The following is a 16075-nucleotide window of genomic DNA, read 5'->3' on the forward strand; positions in this document are numbered from 1 at the left end:
CCTGCCGGCCACAGTGGCTCACACCTGTAATCCCAGCACTTTGGGAGGCAGAGGCAGGTGGACCACCTGAGGTCAGGAGTTCAAGACCAGCCTGGCCAACATGGTGAAACCCCATCTCTACTAAAAATACAAAAATTAGCTGGGCATGATAGTGTGTGGCTGTAATAGTGTGTGCCTGTAATCCCAGCTACTCGGGAGGCTGAGGCAGGAGAATCTCTTGAACCTGGGAGGCGGAGGTTGCAGTGAGCCGAGATTGTGCCACTGCACTCCAGCCTGGGTGACAAGAGTGAAACTCTGTCTCAAAAAAAAAAAAAAAAAAAAGGAGATGGGGTTTCGCCATGTTGCCCAGGCTGGGATTGAACTGGGCTCAAGTGATCCACCCACCTCAGCCTCCCAAAGTTCTGGGATTACAGGCGTTAGCCATAGTCCCCAGCTGAGATCCCAAATGCTATGCAGACTCAGTTTCCCTTGCTGGAAAATGGGAAGAATGGGAGGGGCCTCCCCACACCCAGACAGGGAGCTGGGGGCCTCCCACTGCCCCACATTTCTCTTCAAGGGGCTGCTGTTATTTTCGTGGGGAAGTCAGATGAGTGCAGGTTCCAGTCCACCTCTGTCCCCCATGGCCGGGTTCCCCCTCAAGGCCTCAGTTTCCTCATCTGTAGCATGGGTGTTGTGACTGCCCTCAGACACCAATTTGTCATGATTTGGGAGTAGGTTGAAGTCCCAGCTCTGGCCCAGTCTCAGCGCCTTCCCAGCCCTCGGATTTTCCATCTCCAGGGTGGGTCTGCAGGGAACGGGGTGGCCCCTCTCCCCAGTTCTGAACCTTTGTGGCTGAGCGTCTGCTTCTCTGGTCTGTTTCTGTATCAGCACAGTGGGTTCATGGAAAGGGGAAAGGAGGGAGAGGACTCCACCCGGGATTTCTCCTCCCTCTGATTAATCCTGGTGCACTTGAATCTCTTATCTTTTGATGCAGAAATCCCCCCACCCTTCCAGCAGCCCTCAACCTCCAGGCGGGCCTAGTGTCTGCCTGTGGATCTCAGCCAGGCCTGTCTGTACATATGCTCTGTAGGAACAAGCTTTCGTAGTCATTTTTTGTTTTTTTGTTTTTTGTTTTCCCAAGATGGAGTCTCGCCCTGTCACCCAGGCTGGAGTACAGTGGAGTGACCTTGGCTCACTGCAACCTCCACCTCCCAGGTTCAAGCAATTCTCCTGCCTCAGCCTCCCAAGTAGCTGGGATTACAGTCATGCGCCACCACGCCTGGCTAATTTTTGTATTTTTAGTAGAGACAGAGTTTCACCATGTTAGCCAGGCTGGTCTTGAACTCCTGACTTCTTGATCTGCCCGCCTCGGTCTCCCAAAGTGCTAGGATTACAGGCATGAACCACCGCGCCCAGCCGGGTTTTTTTTTTTTGAGACGGAGTCTCACTCTGTCGCCCAGGCTGGAATGTAGTGGCGAGCTCTCGGCTCACTGCAACCTCTGCCTCCTGGGTTCTCCTGCCTCAGCCTCCTGAGTAGCCGGGACTACAGGCGTGTGCCACCATGCCCAGCTAATTTTTGTATTTTTAGTAAAGATGGGGTTTCACTATGTTGGCCAGGCTGGTGTCAAGCTCTTGACCTCAAGCGATCCACCTGCCTCAGCCTCCCAAAGTGCTGGGATTACAGGCGTGAGCCACTGCGCCCAGCCTCATTTTTCATTTTTTTTTATTTCTTTCTTTTTTTTTTTTTTTTTTTTTTTGAGTCAGGAGTCAGGGGTCTCACTACGTTGTCACCCGGGCTGGAGATCAATGGCGCAACCTTGGCTCACTGCAGCCTTGACCTCCTGGGCTCAATTGATCTTCCCACCTCAGCCTCCCAAGTAGTTGGGACTGCAGGTATGCATCACCTAGCTAAGTTTTGATTTTGTAGAAACGGGGCCTCGCTATGTCATCCAGGCTGGTCTTGAACTCCTGGGCTCAAGCAGTCCACCCACTGTGGCCTCCCAAAGTGCTGGGATTACAGGTGTGAGCCACCATGCTTGGCCGCCGACCCTAGTTTTTTTTTGTTTTGTTTTGTTTTTTGAGATGGAGTCTTGCTCTGTCGCCCAGGCTGGAGTGCAGTGGCGCAATCTCGGCTCACTGCAAGCTCCGCCTCCCGGGTTCATGCCAATCTCCTGCCTCAGCCTCCTGAGTAGCTGGGACTACAGGCGCCCGACACCACGCCCGGCTAATTTTTTTGTTTTTTTTTCAGTAGAGACGGGGTTTCACTGTGTTAGCCAGGATGGTCTCAATCTCCTGACCTCGTGATCTGCCCGCCTTGGCCTCCCAAAGTGCTGGGATTACAAGCGTGAGCCACCGTGCCCAGCCTTGTTCTTTTTTTTTTTTTTTTTTTTTTTTTGAGACAGTGTTTCACTCTTGGCACCCAGGCTCCCAGGCTGGAGTGCAGTGGCACAATCTGAGCTCACTGCAACCTCTGCCTCCCAGGTTCAAGCGATTCTCCTGTCTCAGCCTCCTGAGTAGCTGGGATTACAGGTGTGCTCCAATATGCCTGGCTACATTTTTTTGTATTTTTAGTAGGGACGGGGTTTTGCCATGTTGGCCGGGCTGGTCTCAAGCTCCTAACCTCAGGTGATCCACCTGCTTCGGTCTCCCAAAGTGCTGGGATTACAGGTGTGAGCCACTGCGCCCAGGCTTTTTTTTTTTTTTTTTTTTTTTGTGACAGTCTTGCTCTGTCGCCCAGGCTGGAGTGCAGTGGCACCATCACAGCTCACTGCAGCATTAAACTCCTGGGCTCAAATGATCCTCCCACCCCAGCCTCCCAACTAGCTGGGACTACAGTTGCAAACCACCATACCTGGCTAATTTTTGTTTTTTTGATTTTGTTTGTTCATTTGTTTTGTAGCGATGGGGTTTTACCATATGGCTCAGACTGGTCTCAAACTTCTGGGCTCAAGCAGTCCTCCCTCCTCGGCCTCCCGAAGCGCTGGGATTACAAGTGTGAGCCATTACACCCAGCCCAACCCTAGCTGCAATAGGCAGAGAATAGGTCCCTGACATCTTTGTTCTCCCAACCTCAGTTTTACCCGTCTGTACAATGGGTTGTCCATGAGCCTCCACCTGGCCCCCTTAGCTTGCTCCATCTGCATGCTGGGGTTCAACATAGGTCCTCCACGGCTGGGCATGGTGGCTCACACCTGTCATCCCAGCACTTGGGGAGGCCGAGAGCCGAGGCGGGCGGATCAGAGGTCAGGAGATCGAGACCATCCTGGCCAACATGGTGAAACCCCATCTTTCCTAAAAATACAAAAATTAGCTGGGCGTGGTGGTGGGCATCTGTAATCCTAGCTACTCGGGAGGCTGAGGCAGGAGAATCGCTTGAACCCGGGAGGTGGAGGTTGCAGTGGGCCGAGATTGCGCCACTGCACTCCAGCCTTAGCGTTAAGAGCAAGACTCCGTCTCAAAAAAAAAAAAAAAAAAAATGATCCTCCACAAACTTCCGCCTTGATTTGTGCCTCTCACATAGTCCAAGTCTGTTTGCTCATCTGGGCGATGGGTTCTTGCAGGTCCCTGATAAACTTCTCCTGGGTCCCCCGGGCCTTTTGCGTGCCTCCGGCGGCGTGCACGGGTCCGCAGCGACCCCCTGCCCACCTCTGCCCAGCCCCTCCCACTCTGCGGGTCTGTTCAGGGCCCCTCCGACCTCAGCCTTCGGGGCCGGGCAGTGGGTCCGCCCTCTGCGTCCCTGGCGCTCCTGACCTCTCGCCTCTCCGGCCTGCAGGATGAGTTCCACCCGTTCATCGAGGCCCTGCTGCCTCACGTCCGCGCCTTCGCCTACACCTGGTTCAACCTGCAGGCGCGGAAGCGCAAGTACTTCAAGAAGCACGAGAAGCGGATGTCGAAGGACGAGGAGCGTGCGGTCAAGGACGAGCTGCTGGGCGAGAAGCCCGAGGTCAAGCAGAAGTGGGCGTCGCGGCTGCTGGCCAAGCTGCGCAAGGACATCCGGCCCGAGTGCCGCGAGGACTTCGTGCTGAGCATCACCGGCAAGAAGGCGCCGGGCTGCGTGCTCTCCAACCCCGACCAGAAGGGCAAGATGCGGCGCATCGACTGTCTCCGGCAGGCGGACAAGGTGTGGCGGCTGGACCTGGTCATGGTCATCCTGTTCAAGGGCATCCCGCTGGAGAGCACCGACGGCGAGCGCCTGGTCAAGGCTGCGCAGTGCGGTCACCCGGTCCTGTGCGTGCAGCCGCACCACATTGGCGTGGCCGTCAAGGAGCTGGACCTCTACCTGGCCTACTTCGTGCGTGAGCGAGGTGAGGTGTGGTGGCCTGAGCGGAGCGGCCAGCGGGGAGGGTGTCTGATGGTGGTGACACGGGGCCAGGAGGGCCTGAGGGAGGAGGCCAGTGCGTGTGGGTATGATGTGGTGGTCTGAGAGGGGAAGTGGGCCTTGGAGAGTGCCCAATGGGGGCGACACGGGGCACGGAGCATCTGAGGGAGGAGGCTGGTGGGTATAGATGTGATGTGGTGGTCTGAGAGGGGAGGCGAGTCTAGGAGAATATGTAAAGTAGGTGATATGGCACAAGGAGAGTCTGAGAGAGGAGGCCAGTGCATATAGATGTGATGTGGTGGTCCAGGCAGGGCAGCAGGCCTGGGAGAGCATCTGATGGGGGTGACATGGTGCAAGGAGGGTCTGAGGGAGGAGGCTGGTGCGTGTAGATGTGATGTGGTGGTCCAAGCGGGGAGGCGGGCCTGGGAGAGCGTCTGACGCCGGGTGACACGGGGCAAGGAGGGTCTGAGGGAAGAAGCCAGCATGTGTAGATGTGATGTGGTGGTCTGAGGGGGGAGGCAGGCCTAGGAGAGCGTCTAATGCAAGTGATATGGTGCAAGGAGCGTCTGAGGGAGGAGGCCAGTGCATGCAGGGCCCAGGGTGGCTGCTGATGGGATGTGGAGGTCAGATGGAGGAGGCAGGCCTAGCAGAGGTCTCAAGTGAGAGATGGTACAAGGAGGTTTTTTTGACAGAGGAGGCAGGTGGGCTGTGGCGCTCCAATGGTAGAGGCAGGATCTCACCCTCACGTCTGAGGGAGGAGGCAGGAAGGCCCTTGAGGTCTCAGGGGGATGAGAATGTCCTAGATGGTCTTGGGCACAACGGACGGCCTTGCTGGGAGCAGGGGTGAGGAGAGGAGAGGGACAGGCCATCCCAGCCCTCCGAGGAGAGCCAAGAGAGTCCTGGCACCGCTTTCTGTGAATGCTTGTTGGTTGATTGACTCTCAGACCATGCCAGCAGAGGCCTGATGAGCCTGGCCCTGCCAGAGGGGTGTTTGCCGGTGGTCAAATGCCTGATGTTGAGACCAGCTAGCTCTGTGGGGTTGAGGAAATCCAAGGCGGCTTCCCAGAGGAGGAGGTGCAGCTGAGCTCAGCTCTGCAGGATGGCCAGGCCACAGTGAACAAGGAGATGCCCCAGGGGTCCTGGCAGGAGCGTGGAGATGAGAGGCCTGATGCCTGTGCCTCTGGTCCCGGTGCTAAGAGCAGGGTTGGTCCTGCAGCTTCTTGGCTGCGTGGCCCTCTTGGACTTCAGTTTCTCTTGCCTGCCAAATGGTGGAGATGATCAGTCTGTAGCTGGATGGGGCTATGGGAGGTTCCAGAAGATCATGCGTGTAGCCACGTGCGAGGTGTCAGCTGCATCCCAAGACCTGAGTGGGTGCACAGCACACCCCTGCCATGCCCATCCAGGCCGTGTCTGGAGCACGCGTGAACCCCCACACACCCAGGGGCTGCCAGAGCATGTGGGATGGGTGTACGCCAGACGCAGACCCACACAGGTCACCAGCCCAGCCCCAGCCCAGGCAGCACTCTATAGAAACAGGCAGTTGCACAGCCTGAGAGGGAGGGGCATTTGCCCGAACAGGAGGACCCTGGGGCCAGACTGCCCATGCTCCAGACACAGCCCTTCTTTTCCCCAGCTGTATGGACACATCCCTTTTCTGTGCCTCAGTTTCCTCCTTGGTGCAATGGGAGTAACAGCCATGCCACCTTCTAGAGCTGGTGCAAGGGTGAGACAGGGTCACGGGCTCCCAGGCTCTAGGGTGTGTGGAAAGACAGCAGGGCAGAGTTACCCAGTGTTTTTTTTTTTTTTTTTTTCCTGGAGACAGGGTCTCGCTCTGTCACCCACGCTGGAGTGCAGTGGTGCAATCTCGGCTCACTGTAGCCTCGACCTCCCAGGCTCAAGCAATCCTCCTGCCTCACCCTCCCAAGTAGCTGGGACTATAGGCGCACACCACCACACCCAGCTAATATTTTATATATATATATATTTTTTTGTAGAGACAGGGTCTTGCTATGTTGCCCAGGTTGGCCTCAAACTCCTGGGCTCAAGCCATCCTCCCACCTTGGCCTCCCAAAGTGTTAGAAGTACAGCAGGCAAGAGCCACTGCACCACACCAGTTACCCAGTCTTTTTTTTTTTTCTTTCTTTTTTTGGAGATGGAGTTTCGCCCTGTTCCCCGGGCTGGAGTCCAGTGACGCAATCTCGGCTCACTGCAATCTCCACCTCCCAGGTTCAAGCGATTCTCCTGCCTTTGCCTCCCCAGTAGCTGGGCTTACAGGTGACTGCCACCACGCCTGGCTAATTTTTGTATTTTTAGTAGAGACGGGGTTTCACCATGTTGGCCAGGCTGGTCTTGAACTCCTGAACTCAAACGATCCACTGGCCTCAGCCTCCCCAAGTGCGGGGATTACAGGCGTGAGCCACCGCGCCCGGCAGTTACCCAGTCTTGATCTTGATTCTTTGACCTTGACCTTAGCATCTTTCTCCTCCCCCACCCCCACTGATGAGCAACAAACCTGCTGGGGTTGGCTGTGAGGGGGCACTGGGGACGGTGGGGGCAGAGAGGTGGGCCGGGTGACTGCCTGTTGGGAGCAGGGGCCACCGTGGGGACGGAGGTTCTCATCGTCACACAGGGCCAGACCTCTCTGCCACCACACATCTTCCTCGCCCGGGGCCCCGCCCCCACCTCCTCCGTGCTGAGCTGATACAATTTTGAAGCGAGCTTTTCTGCTGCAGTCAGCACAACCTCTGGGCGCCTCCCCACCCCCACCCTGCCCCTCCCGCCTCTGCTCAGCAGGCAGGCCTGTGCCCCAGGTCAGGTTGGCCTCTCTGAGTGAAGGCTGCACCCTCCCTTGCCCCCAGCCTGCCCCCTTCATCCCCAAGGGAATCCCTGCTTCAATTGGCCCCAGCAGGCCACACCCTCCCCCAATTGGCCCCAGCAGGGCACACCCCCCCCCAACCCTCCCACCTGCCCACTGCGGGTGCTCCAGCTCCTCATGGGGGTAAGAGCTGGGCCTGGACTCCAACCCCAGCTCAGCTGCCCACTGGCTGGGTGATGTGGGGCCAGTCACTCACCCTCTCTGTGCTTCATTTCCTTGTCTATAAACTGGGGGGCTCAAAACTGGTTGCCTTGTGGGAAATGTCAAGTGCCCAGGGTGAGAGCTCAGTAAACCACCCACAAGGCATCGTGAAGACCAGGCACTAGGCAGGGGGCTAGGGCCCTTGGTGGTTATCGTTACTAACATTATCCTCTTCGGGATTGGTTTGTTTGTTTGTTATTATTGGTTTGGGTTTTTTGGGGGTTTTTTTGGTTGTTGTTGTTTTTTTTTTTTTTTTTGAGACAGACTCTTGCTCTGTCTCCCAGGCTGGAGTGCAATGACGCAATCTTGGCTCACTGCAACCTCTGCCTCCCGGGTTCAAGCAATTCTCCTGCCTCAGTCTCCCGAGTAGCTGGGACTACACATGCCCACCACCACACCCGGCTAATTTTTGTATTTTTAATACGGACGGGGTTTTGCATGTTGGCCAGGCTGGTCTCCAGCTCCTAACTTCAGGTGATCCACCCGCCTCGGCCTCCCAAAGTGCTGGGATTACAGGCGTGAGCCACTGCAACTGGCCTTGTTTTTTGTTTTTTGCAGAGATGGGGTATCACTATGTTGCCCAGGCTACTCTCGAACTCCTGGGCTCAAGTGATCCTCCCGCCTTGGCCTCCCAAAGTGCCAGGATTACAGGCGTGACCCCCTGCGCCCGGCCCATCCTCCTCATTCTGATTATAATCTCCCACTGCCAGACCTTTCCTTATGCATTCCCTGGACATAGAATGTCTTTCCCATATGGAAAACCCCAACTCCGGCTGGGTGTGGTGGCTCATGCCTGTAATCCCAGCACTTTGGGAGGCCAAGGCAGGTGACTCTCCTGAGCTCAGGCATTCGAGACCAGCCTGGGCAAAATGGCAAAACCCCATCTCTACCAAATATACAAAAAATTAGCCACCTGCCTGGCTGAAAATTCTTTCCCATTCTCACAGCTGCCCTGTGAGGCAAGGATCATTGCTGTATGCCTTTTTTTTTTTTTTTTTTTTTTTTTTGAGATAGGGTCTCACTCTGTCACCCAGGCTGGAGTGCAGTGGCGCGATCTTGGCTTACTGCAACCTCTACTTCCTGGGTTCAAGCGATTCTCATGCCTCAGCCTCCCGAGTAGCTGAGATTACAGGCGAGCGCCACCACACCTGGCCAATTTTTGTATTTTTAGTAGAGACGGGCTTTCACCATGTTGGCCAGGGTGGTCTGGAACTCATGGCCTCAAGTGATCCGCCCTCCTCGGCCTCCCAAAGTGCTGGGATGACAGGCGTGAGCCACCGCGCCCGGCCTGTTGTACGCATTTTACAGAGGAGGAAACAGAGGCTCAGAGGAGGGATTTGACCTGCCGTGGTCACACAGCCGAGACTGGGCCAGGTGGGATTTGGACCCACAAGCAGCTTCTGCCTCTGCCCTGTCCTTGACACCTGCCTCATCCTCCATTATTGTCAGAAGGGGATGGGCGGAAGTTGTGGTGCGTGAGGGGGCAGTCTGCTGGCACGGTGTGGTCACCTTCTGGCAGGGTTGTGTGAGGGCCCCACAGGCTGAGGTCTTATGTAGGGTCCCCAGGCTGTGGCTGGCCTCCAGGCCTCAGCGCTGATCCCAGTGGTTGTCACCCTGACAGCAGGAAGACTGGCCACCGGCTTCCTTTTCCGAACCGAGAGTCCCCTTGGCTGTGGAGCGTCCTGGCCCAGCCAGAGTGCAGTGTCTGGCTTTCATCAGCCCTGCTGGGCAGCTGAGGCCCTGGGATAGAGGGAGAGGGAGGGACGGGCATCAGGCATAGGGCCTTGGCTGGCCTCTTGGAGGGGTGCAGGGTGGATGGCGGTGGAGGGGCACCTGCCATGGGGCTGAAAGGAGCCACCACTTGCAACGTCACAAGTGAGAGAGGAGGCCGGGCACAGTGGCTCATACCTGCAATCCCAGCACTTCGGGAGGCCGAGGCAGGCGGATCACCTGAGGTCAGGAGTTTGAGGCCAGCCTGGCCAACATGGTGAAACCCCATCTCTACTAAAAATACAAAAATTAGCCGGGCGTGGTGGCGGGCGTCTGTAGTACCAGCTACTCGGGAGGCTGAGGCAGGAGAATCGCTGGAACCCGGGAGGTTGCAGTGAGCCAAGATCGCGACACTGCACTCCAGCCTGAGCGACAGAGTGAGACTCTGTCTCAAAAAATAAAAATTAAAATTAATAAGAAGAGGGTGTCAGGGAACTGCAGGAAAATAAAGCAGGGAGGGACATGGAGGGGGGCTGGGGGCCACTCTGGATGGGGAGGGCTTCTCTGAGGAGGCGTCTTTGAGGTGAGGCTTGAAGGGGGTGAGGGAGTCTGGAGAGGCTGGGTGGAGGGAGCAGTGAGGGGGTTATAGCCAGTGCGAAGGCCTGGAGCCCAGGAGCAGCACATGGAGCTGGCTGGGATGTTCAGGGGGTAGTGAGTGGCGAGGGCCGTCCTGTGGCCTTCCAGTGAGGGTGACCAGCCGGGGGTGGGGCGGGAGAGGGTGACCCGGGTGCTCTCCGACCTGCCACGTGCTGGGGAAGGAGCCTGCAGGAACCAGGGCCCAGAGAGGGAAGCTGTCTGCCCGCCCAGGGCCTAAACCCAGCCAGGCCTCCCCGCCCCCTCTGGCAGCCCAAGAAATCTGAGGCGCGGGCGGGCACCGTGCCAGGGCTGGGCGGGGGAGGGGCTGCCAGGCCCGCCCGTCCCAGCAGCTGCCAGCCCGCCCCGAGCCGCCAGCCCAGATGGTGCCCATCTGCTGACGCCGCCATGGGCCAGCCTCCTGTTCCCGCCTTGCGTCGTGCCAAGCTCCTGCAGTCCAGCGCCGGGAATGGCGCGGTGGGCAGAGCCCGGCCCGGGAAGCTCATAGCACGCCAGAGAGGCTGCCCCGGGTGCCCTGGAGAGGGTGGCAGGAGAAACATGGGAGGGGGAGTTCCCCAGCGCTTCCTGGATGGAATTGGGGAGCAAGGACCCCAACAGCGATAATGATGGCGGCAAACACACATGGCGTGCCCTCTGTGTGCCAGGCTCCGAGGCCACCGCTCACCCTAACTGGTTTAATTCTCTCCCCCATCCAAGCAGGAAGGGACTTTGGCCTTCTCTCGTGTTCTAGTGGAGGAAGCAGAGACCCAGAGGTTTGGACAAGAGTCACTTGTCCAAGGTCACAAAGCTCCTCAGGGGCAGAGCCGGAATGAGAATCCAGAACCCCTTTGAAAAAGGGATTGAGGCCAGGCGAGGTGGCTCCTGCCTGTAATCCCAACACTTTGGGAGGCTGAGGCAGGAGGATCACTTGAGGCCAGGAGTTCGAGACCAGCCTGGGCAACATAGCACGACCATGCCCCCCCCCAACAAAATTTTTAAAAATGAGCCAGGTGTGGTGGTGTGTACCTGTAGTCCCAGCTACTCGGGAGGCTGAGGCAGGAGGATGGCTTGAGCCCAGGAGTTGGAGGTTGCAGTGAGCTGTGATCCCACCACTGCACTCCAGCCTGGGTGACAAGGCAAGACCTTATCTCTAAAAACCGTTTTTTTTAAGGGGTGATTGAGGCCAGGTGTGGTGGCTCACACATGTAATCCCAGCTACACAGGAGGCTGAGGCAGGAGAGTCGCTTGAACCTAGGAGGCGGAGGTTGCAGCGAGCTGAGCTCATGCCACTGCACTCCAGCCTGGGCGACAGAGTGAGACCCTGTCTCCAATAAAAGGGAGGTGGTATTGAAACCCCTTAAACCTCTTTTCAAAAACAAACTAAAAGTGCCCTTTGAGGTTATCTAGTGGAAGCCACACCCTCTGAGTCATACAGATCATACAGTGCAGGCCGTGCACACTCAGGGAGTAAATGAATGAATGAATGAATGAATGAGGTGAACCCTATGGAAGGGGACCAAGCCTGGGGCCAGGGTGTCCATAAAGCTCACCCTGAGCTTGATGGCAGGAGAAAGGGTCTCAACCTGGGAGTGAGGGACCTGGGTCAGCCACAGTGCTGCCCTGGCTTGCTGTGTGGCTTTGAGAAAAGTCCTGCCCTCTCTGGTCTGGGGTTGAGGGGAGTGGAGGGTGGGAAGGGGCGGCCTTGTGGGCCACAGACAGGAGCAAGGCGGGTCTTCACTGAAAGCCTCCCGTCCTCTTCTGCCTTTATTGATCTTCATCCCGGTTGTGGGTGCTGCACTGGGGAGACAGGCCATGAGCTCGGGTGACGGTGCCTGTTTATTTGTATGGTGGACAGAATTTGTGTTCCTGTGTGCTCCAGGCAGTGTGGGGCGCATTCTTCTCTTTGAGCCTTAGTTTTTGCCTCTGTAGAATGGGGAGAATCAGAGCTGTGCCCATTGCATTAAAGATTGGAGTCAGTGGTCTCTGAGAAGCATACAGGAGGCACTCAATAAATGCTCACTTCCGGCCGGGCGCAGTGGCTCACACCTGTAATCCCAGCACTCTGGGAGGCCCAGGCGGGTGGATCACCTGAGGTCGGGAGTTCGAGACCAGCCTGACCAACATGGAGAAACCCCATCTCTACTAAAAATACCAAAAATTAGCCAGGCGTGGTGGTGCATGCCTGTAATCCCAGCTAGTCAGGAGGCTAAGGCAGGAGAATTGCTTGAGCCCGGGAGAAGGAGGTTGCGGTGAACCGAGATTGCGCCATTGCGCTCCAGCCTGGGCAACAAGAGTGAAACTCTGTCCCAAAAACAAAACAAACAAACAAAAAGAATGCTCATTTCCTCCCTGGATTCTCTCCCCAACCCCAGGAGGGAAGGAGGGAGGTCCCAGTGCCGCCGTGAAACCCTACACCTCCTTTTCCCAACCCAGTGAGCCAGTGGGGGCACCGTGACCCAGGAGTGGCTGTCACCAGAAGCTGGACCAAGTCACCCTTTCCAGGTGTCTGGACAGCAGAGGGGTGAGGGGTTCCTGGCAGCAGCAGCCTGTTATCCCCCAGGGCTGGGCAGCCAGGTGTGCCAGCCGTCTGTCTGTGCAGAGAAGGTGGCTGCCGGGCGTGAGTCGCAGACGCCAGCTGATGGTGTATTTATAGCAACGGCAGGAGTCCGCGGGGCATACGTCAGTGGTAAAGAGGGACGGGCAGGTGGGGGTCCAGCTCCCACAGCAGACAAGAGCCCACCAGGACTGGCCAGGGAGCTGAACAGAGTGTCAGGGAGAATGAGGGGCATGTTGTGCAGCCGGGAGGCCCAGGATCACACCCCTCTGCTCTGGAACTGCGTGATGTTTGACAAGTGACATTGCAGCTGTGGGCCTCAGTTTCCTCCCCCATCAAATGGGGATGATAATAATCCTGCCCACCTAATAGGGCTGCATAGGATCCAATTAGTGCATGAAAAGCATGAGGACAGGGCCTGGTATACAGTAAGCACTCAAAAGTGATTTGTTGCCTAAAAAAGGGAGGGAATCCCAACATGGGCCACAATGTGGATGCATCTTGAGGATGTCACACTCAGTAAAATAAGCCAGACACAGAAGGACAAATCCTGTGTGATTCCACTCCTAGGAGGTCCATAGAGTCGCCAGATTCACAGAGACAGAAAGTAGGATGGGGGGTGCCAGGGGCTGGGGAGGGGGCTGGGGAGAGAATGTTTCATGGGGACGGGGTTTCAGTTTGGGAAGATGAGAAGGTTCTGGAGAGGATGGTGGTAATGGTTGTACAACCCTATGAATACGCTTAATGCTGGGTTAATGCCACTGAACTTAGAAATGGTTAAAAGAGAGGCAGGAGGATTGCTTAAGGCCAGGAGTTCGAGACCAGCCTGGGCAACACAGCGAGACCTCATCTGTACAAAAAATTTAAAAATTATCTGGGTGTGGTTGCACGCACTTGTGTTCCCATCTACTCAGGAGGCTGAGGCAGGAGGATCGCTTGAGCCCAGGAGTTTGAGGCTGCAATGAGCTATGATCACACCACTGCACTCCAGCCTGGGCGACAGAGCAAGACTTGTCTCAAAACCAGAACCACCCCCACCAAAAAATGGTAAATTTATGTTATCTAGATTTTACCACAATCTAAAAATGTAGTTCTGGTTGTGAATAATGATAATAACAAGTAATAATATTATATCTATGGCCGGCTGTGGTGGCTTACGCCTGTAATCTCAGCACTTTGGGAGGCTGAGGCGGGAAGATGACTTGAGGTCAAGAATTCGAGACCAGCCCAGCCAACATGGTAAAACCCTGTCTCTAATAAAAATACAAAAATTAGCCAGTCGTAGGCCAGGCGCGGTGGCTCACACCTGTAATCCCAGCACTTTGGGAGGCCGAGGCAGGCAGACCACTTGAGGTCAAGAGTTTGAGACCAGCCTGGCCAATATGGCAAAACCCCGTCTCTACTAAAAATACAAAAATTAGCCAGGCATGGTGGCGCGTGCCTGTAATCCCAGCTACTTGGGAGGCTGAGGCAGGAGAATCACTTGAACCCGGGAGGCGGAGGTTGCGGTGAGCTGAGATTGCACCACTGCCCTCCAGCCTGGGCAACAGAGTGAGACTCCGTTTCAAAAAAAAATGTTATATATGTAACAATGTAATAATTAGTAATATGTCATATATAATCATGGAACAATAAATAAGAAAAATAGTGTCTGCGGTGACAGCACAGTAGTTATTATTGTCGTTATCATGATCGTCATCACTGTGGTTCTCGTCCAGCTCTGCCCTGCAGACAGCTGTGTAACCCTGGGTGAGTTTCTTGCCAGCTCTGTGCTTTACTGCCTCATCTGTGAATTGAGCATAGGGGGTGCCTAGCAATTTAAATGAGATAATAGCTCTTTTTTTTTTTTTTTTTTTTTTGAGATGGAGTCTTGCTCTGTCTCCCAGGCAGGAGTGCAGTGGTGTGATCGTGGCTCACTGCAACCTCCACCTCCCGGGTTCAAGTGATTCTCCTGCCTCAACCTCCCGAATAGCTGGGATTACAAGCTCATGTCACCACACCCGGCTAATTGTGGTATTTTTAGTAGAGCGGGGGTTTCACTATGTTGGCCAGGCTGGTCTCGAACTTCTGACCTCAGGTGATCTACCTGCCTTGGCCTCCCAAAGTGCTGGGACTACAGGCGTGAGCCACCGCACCCGGCCTAAATGAGATAATATCTATGAAAAAACTAACCCTTTGCATGTGATGAGTGCTGGGAACTGGTAGGCTCTTTGAGGAGTAGGTCCTCCCACCACCCCGCAGACGCCCCTACCCAGCAGAATGCTGGTTTCTGCATGAATGCATTTGTGTGGGGACTCCCGAGACAGCCCCTGAGGGAGCCCTCATTCACCCGGGTGGGGCCCGGCCCTCCCAGAGCCAGTGGGAGGGGGAGGCGCCTTGTTGCACCTGTGATGCCCCCCGTTATGGCTGGGCTGCAGTTGTCACCCTGGCCCTGTGCCTGGGAAGCCAAGGGGAGGCTGAGGGCAGCTAGGGACAGCTCTGTGCCCACGGCCCCCTCCAGCCAGCTGCCAGGCCAGCCCCCTCCCTCCAGCTGGGCGAGGGCAGGAAGTCACAGATGGTCAGGGTTGGTGAGGGGTGAAGCAGAGGGCATTTGGGGACACCGGATGTCTCGTCCAGATGGGGAAACTGAGGCCCGGAGAGGGGCGAGGCATTGCCCCGAGTTGCCCAGGAAGGGCCTTGGCTCTTGTCCCTTCTAAGTCCCATCTTTATTTTTATTTTTTATTTTTTGGAGACGGAGTTTTGCCCTGTCGCCCAGGCTGGAGTACAGTGGCGCGATCTCGGCTCGCTGCAACCTCCGCCTCCTGAGTTCAAGCAATTCTCCCGCCTCAGCCTCCCGAGTAGCTGGGATTACAGGTGCCCGCCACCACACCCAGCTAATTTTTGTATTTTTAGTAGAGATGGAGTTTTACCATGTTGGCCAGGCTGACCTCGTGATCCACCCACCTCGGCCTCCCGAATTGCTGGGATTACAGGTGTGAGCCACCGCGCCCAGACTAAGTCCCATCTTTAGGTCCGCTTGGCTGTTCCACGGCCACCTGGAGGGGAGGTAGGGCCAGCAAGGAGGGACCCTAGGGTCTCAGGGCAGAAGATCTGCCGGAGGAGAGGGAGAAGGGGGTTCTGAGGGGAGGAAGACGCGAGAATCTCAACGCTGAAGTGGTTTCTAGATTCTCCAGGGCATGAGTCCTGAAATCCCCAAGGCCTGAGTTCTAGAATTTCTTCCACTGGGGCCCTGACCACACAGGTGATTCTAGAATTCTCCTAGGTGAGTTCCAGACCCAGGGGTCCAGGAGAAATAGAATGTTGGCTGGGCGTGGTGGCTCACACCTGTAATCCCAGCACTTTGGGAGACCGAGGAGGGCAGATCACTTGAGGTCAGGATTTCAAGACCAGCCTGACCAACATGATGAAACCCGGTCTCTACTAAAAATACAAAAATGAGCCGGGCGTGGTGGCGCGAACCTGTAATCCCAGCTACTCTCAGGAGGCTGAGACAGGAGAATCGCTTAAACCCAGGAGGCAGAGGCTACAGTGAGCTGGGATCGTGCCACTGCACTCCAGCCTGGGCAACAGAGTGAGACTCTGTCTCAAAAAAAAAAAAAAAAAAAAAGAGTTCCAACCACACATATAATTTAACATTTTTCTGGTCCTCACACTTAAGAATGTAAATTTAAGTATACTGGGGAAATTAATTTTAACATTATTTTAAGTAATGTTAATTTTTTTTTTCCTTGAGACAGAGTCTCGCTCTGTCGCCCAGGCTGGAGTGCAGCGGTGCAATCTCGGCTCACTGCAACCTCCACCTCCT

General features: G+C 55.9%; 1 protein-coding gene across 5 annotated transcripts in view, besides 1 other annotated feature; it reads left to right on the forward strand.

The window, feature by feature from the left end:
* NFIC (nuclear factor I C) overlaps window positions 1–16075 on the forward strand; it is a 109588-nt gene that overhangs the window by 18331 nt on the left and 75182 nt on the right. For all 5 annotated transcript variants that reach the window (NM_205843.3, NM_001245005.2, NM_001245002.2 and 2 more), the window contains exon 2: window positions 3752–4283. In NM_205843.3, the coding sequence (NP_995315.1) occupies window positions 3752–4283 (532 nt within the window). The remainder of the gene's footprint in view (window positions 1–3751; window positions 4284–16075) is intronic.
* Window positions 11730–12307: an enhancer, noted in NCBI's record as "H3K27ac-H3K4me1 hESC enhancer chr19:3389688-3390265 (GRCh37/hg19 assembly coordinates)". NCBI's record gives its function as "activates a minimal SCP1, AML or CMV promoter by ChIP-STARR-seq in primed H9 embryonic stem cells {active_cell/tissue: H9 hESC(primed)}" and the evidence as "EXISTENCE:reporter gene assay evidence [ECO:0000049][PMID:30033119]".

Source organism: Homo sapiens, chromosome 19 (assembly GCF_000001405.40).
Source record: "Homo sapiens chromosome 19, GRCh38.p14 Primary Assembly".
Lineage (NCBI taxonomy): Eukaryota > Metazoa > Chordata > Mammalia > Primates > Hominidae > Homo > Homo sapiens.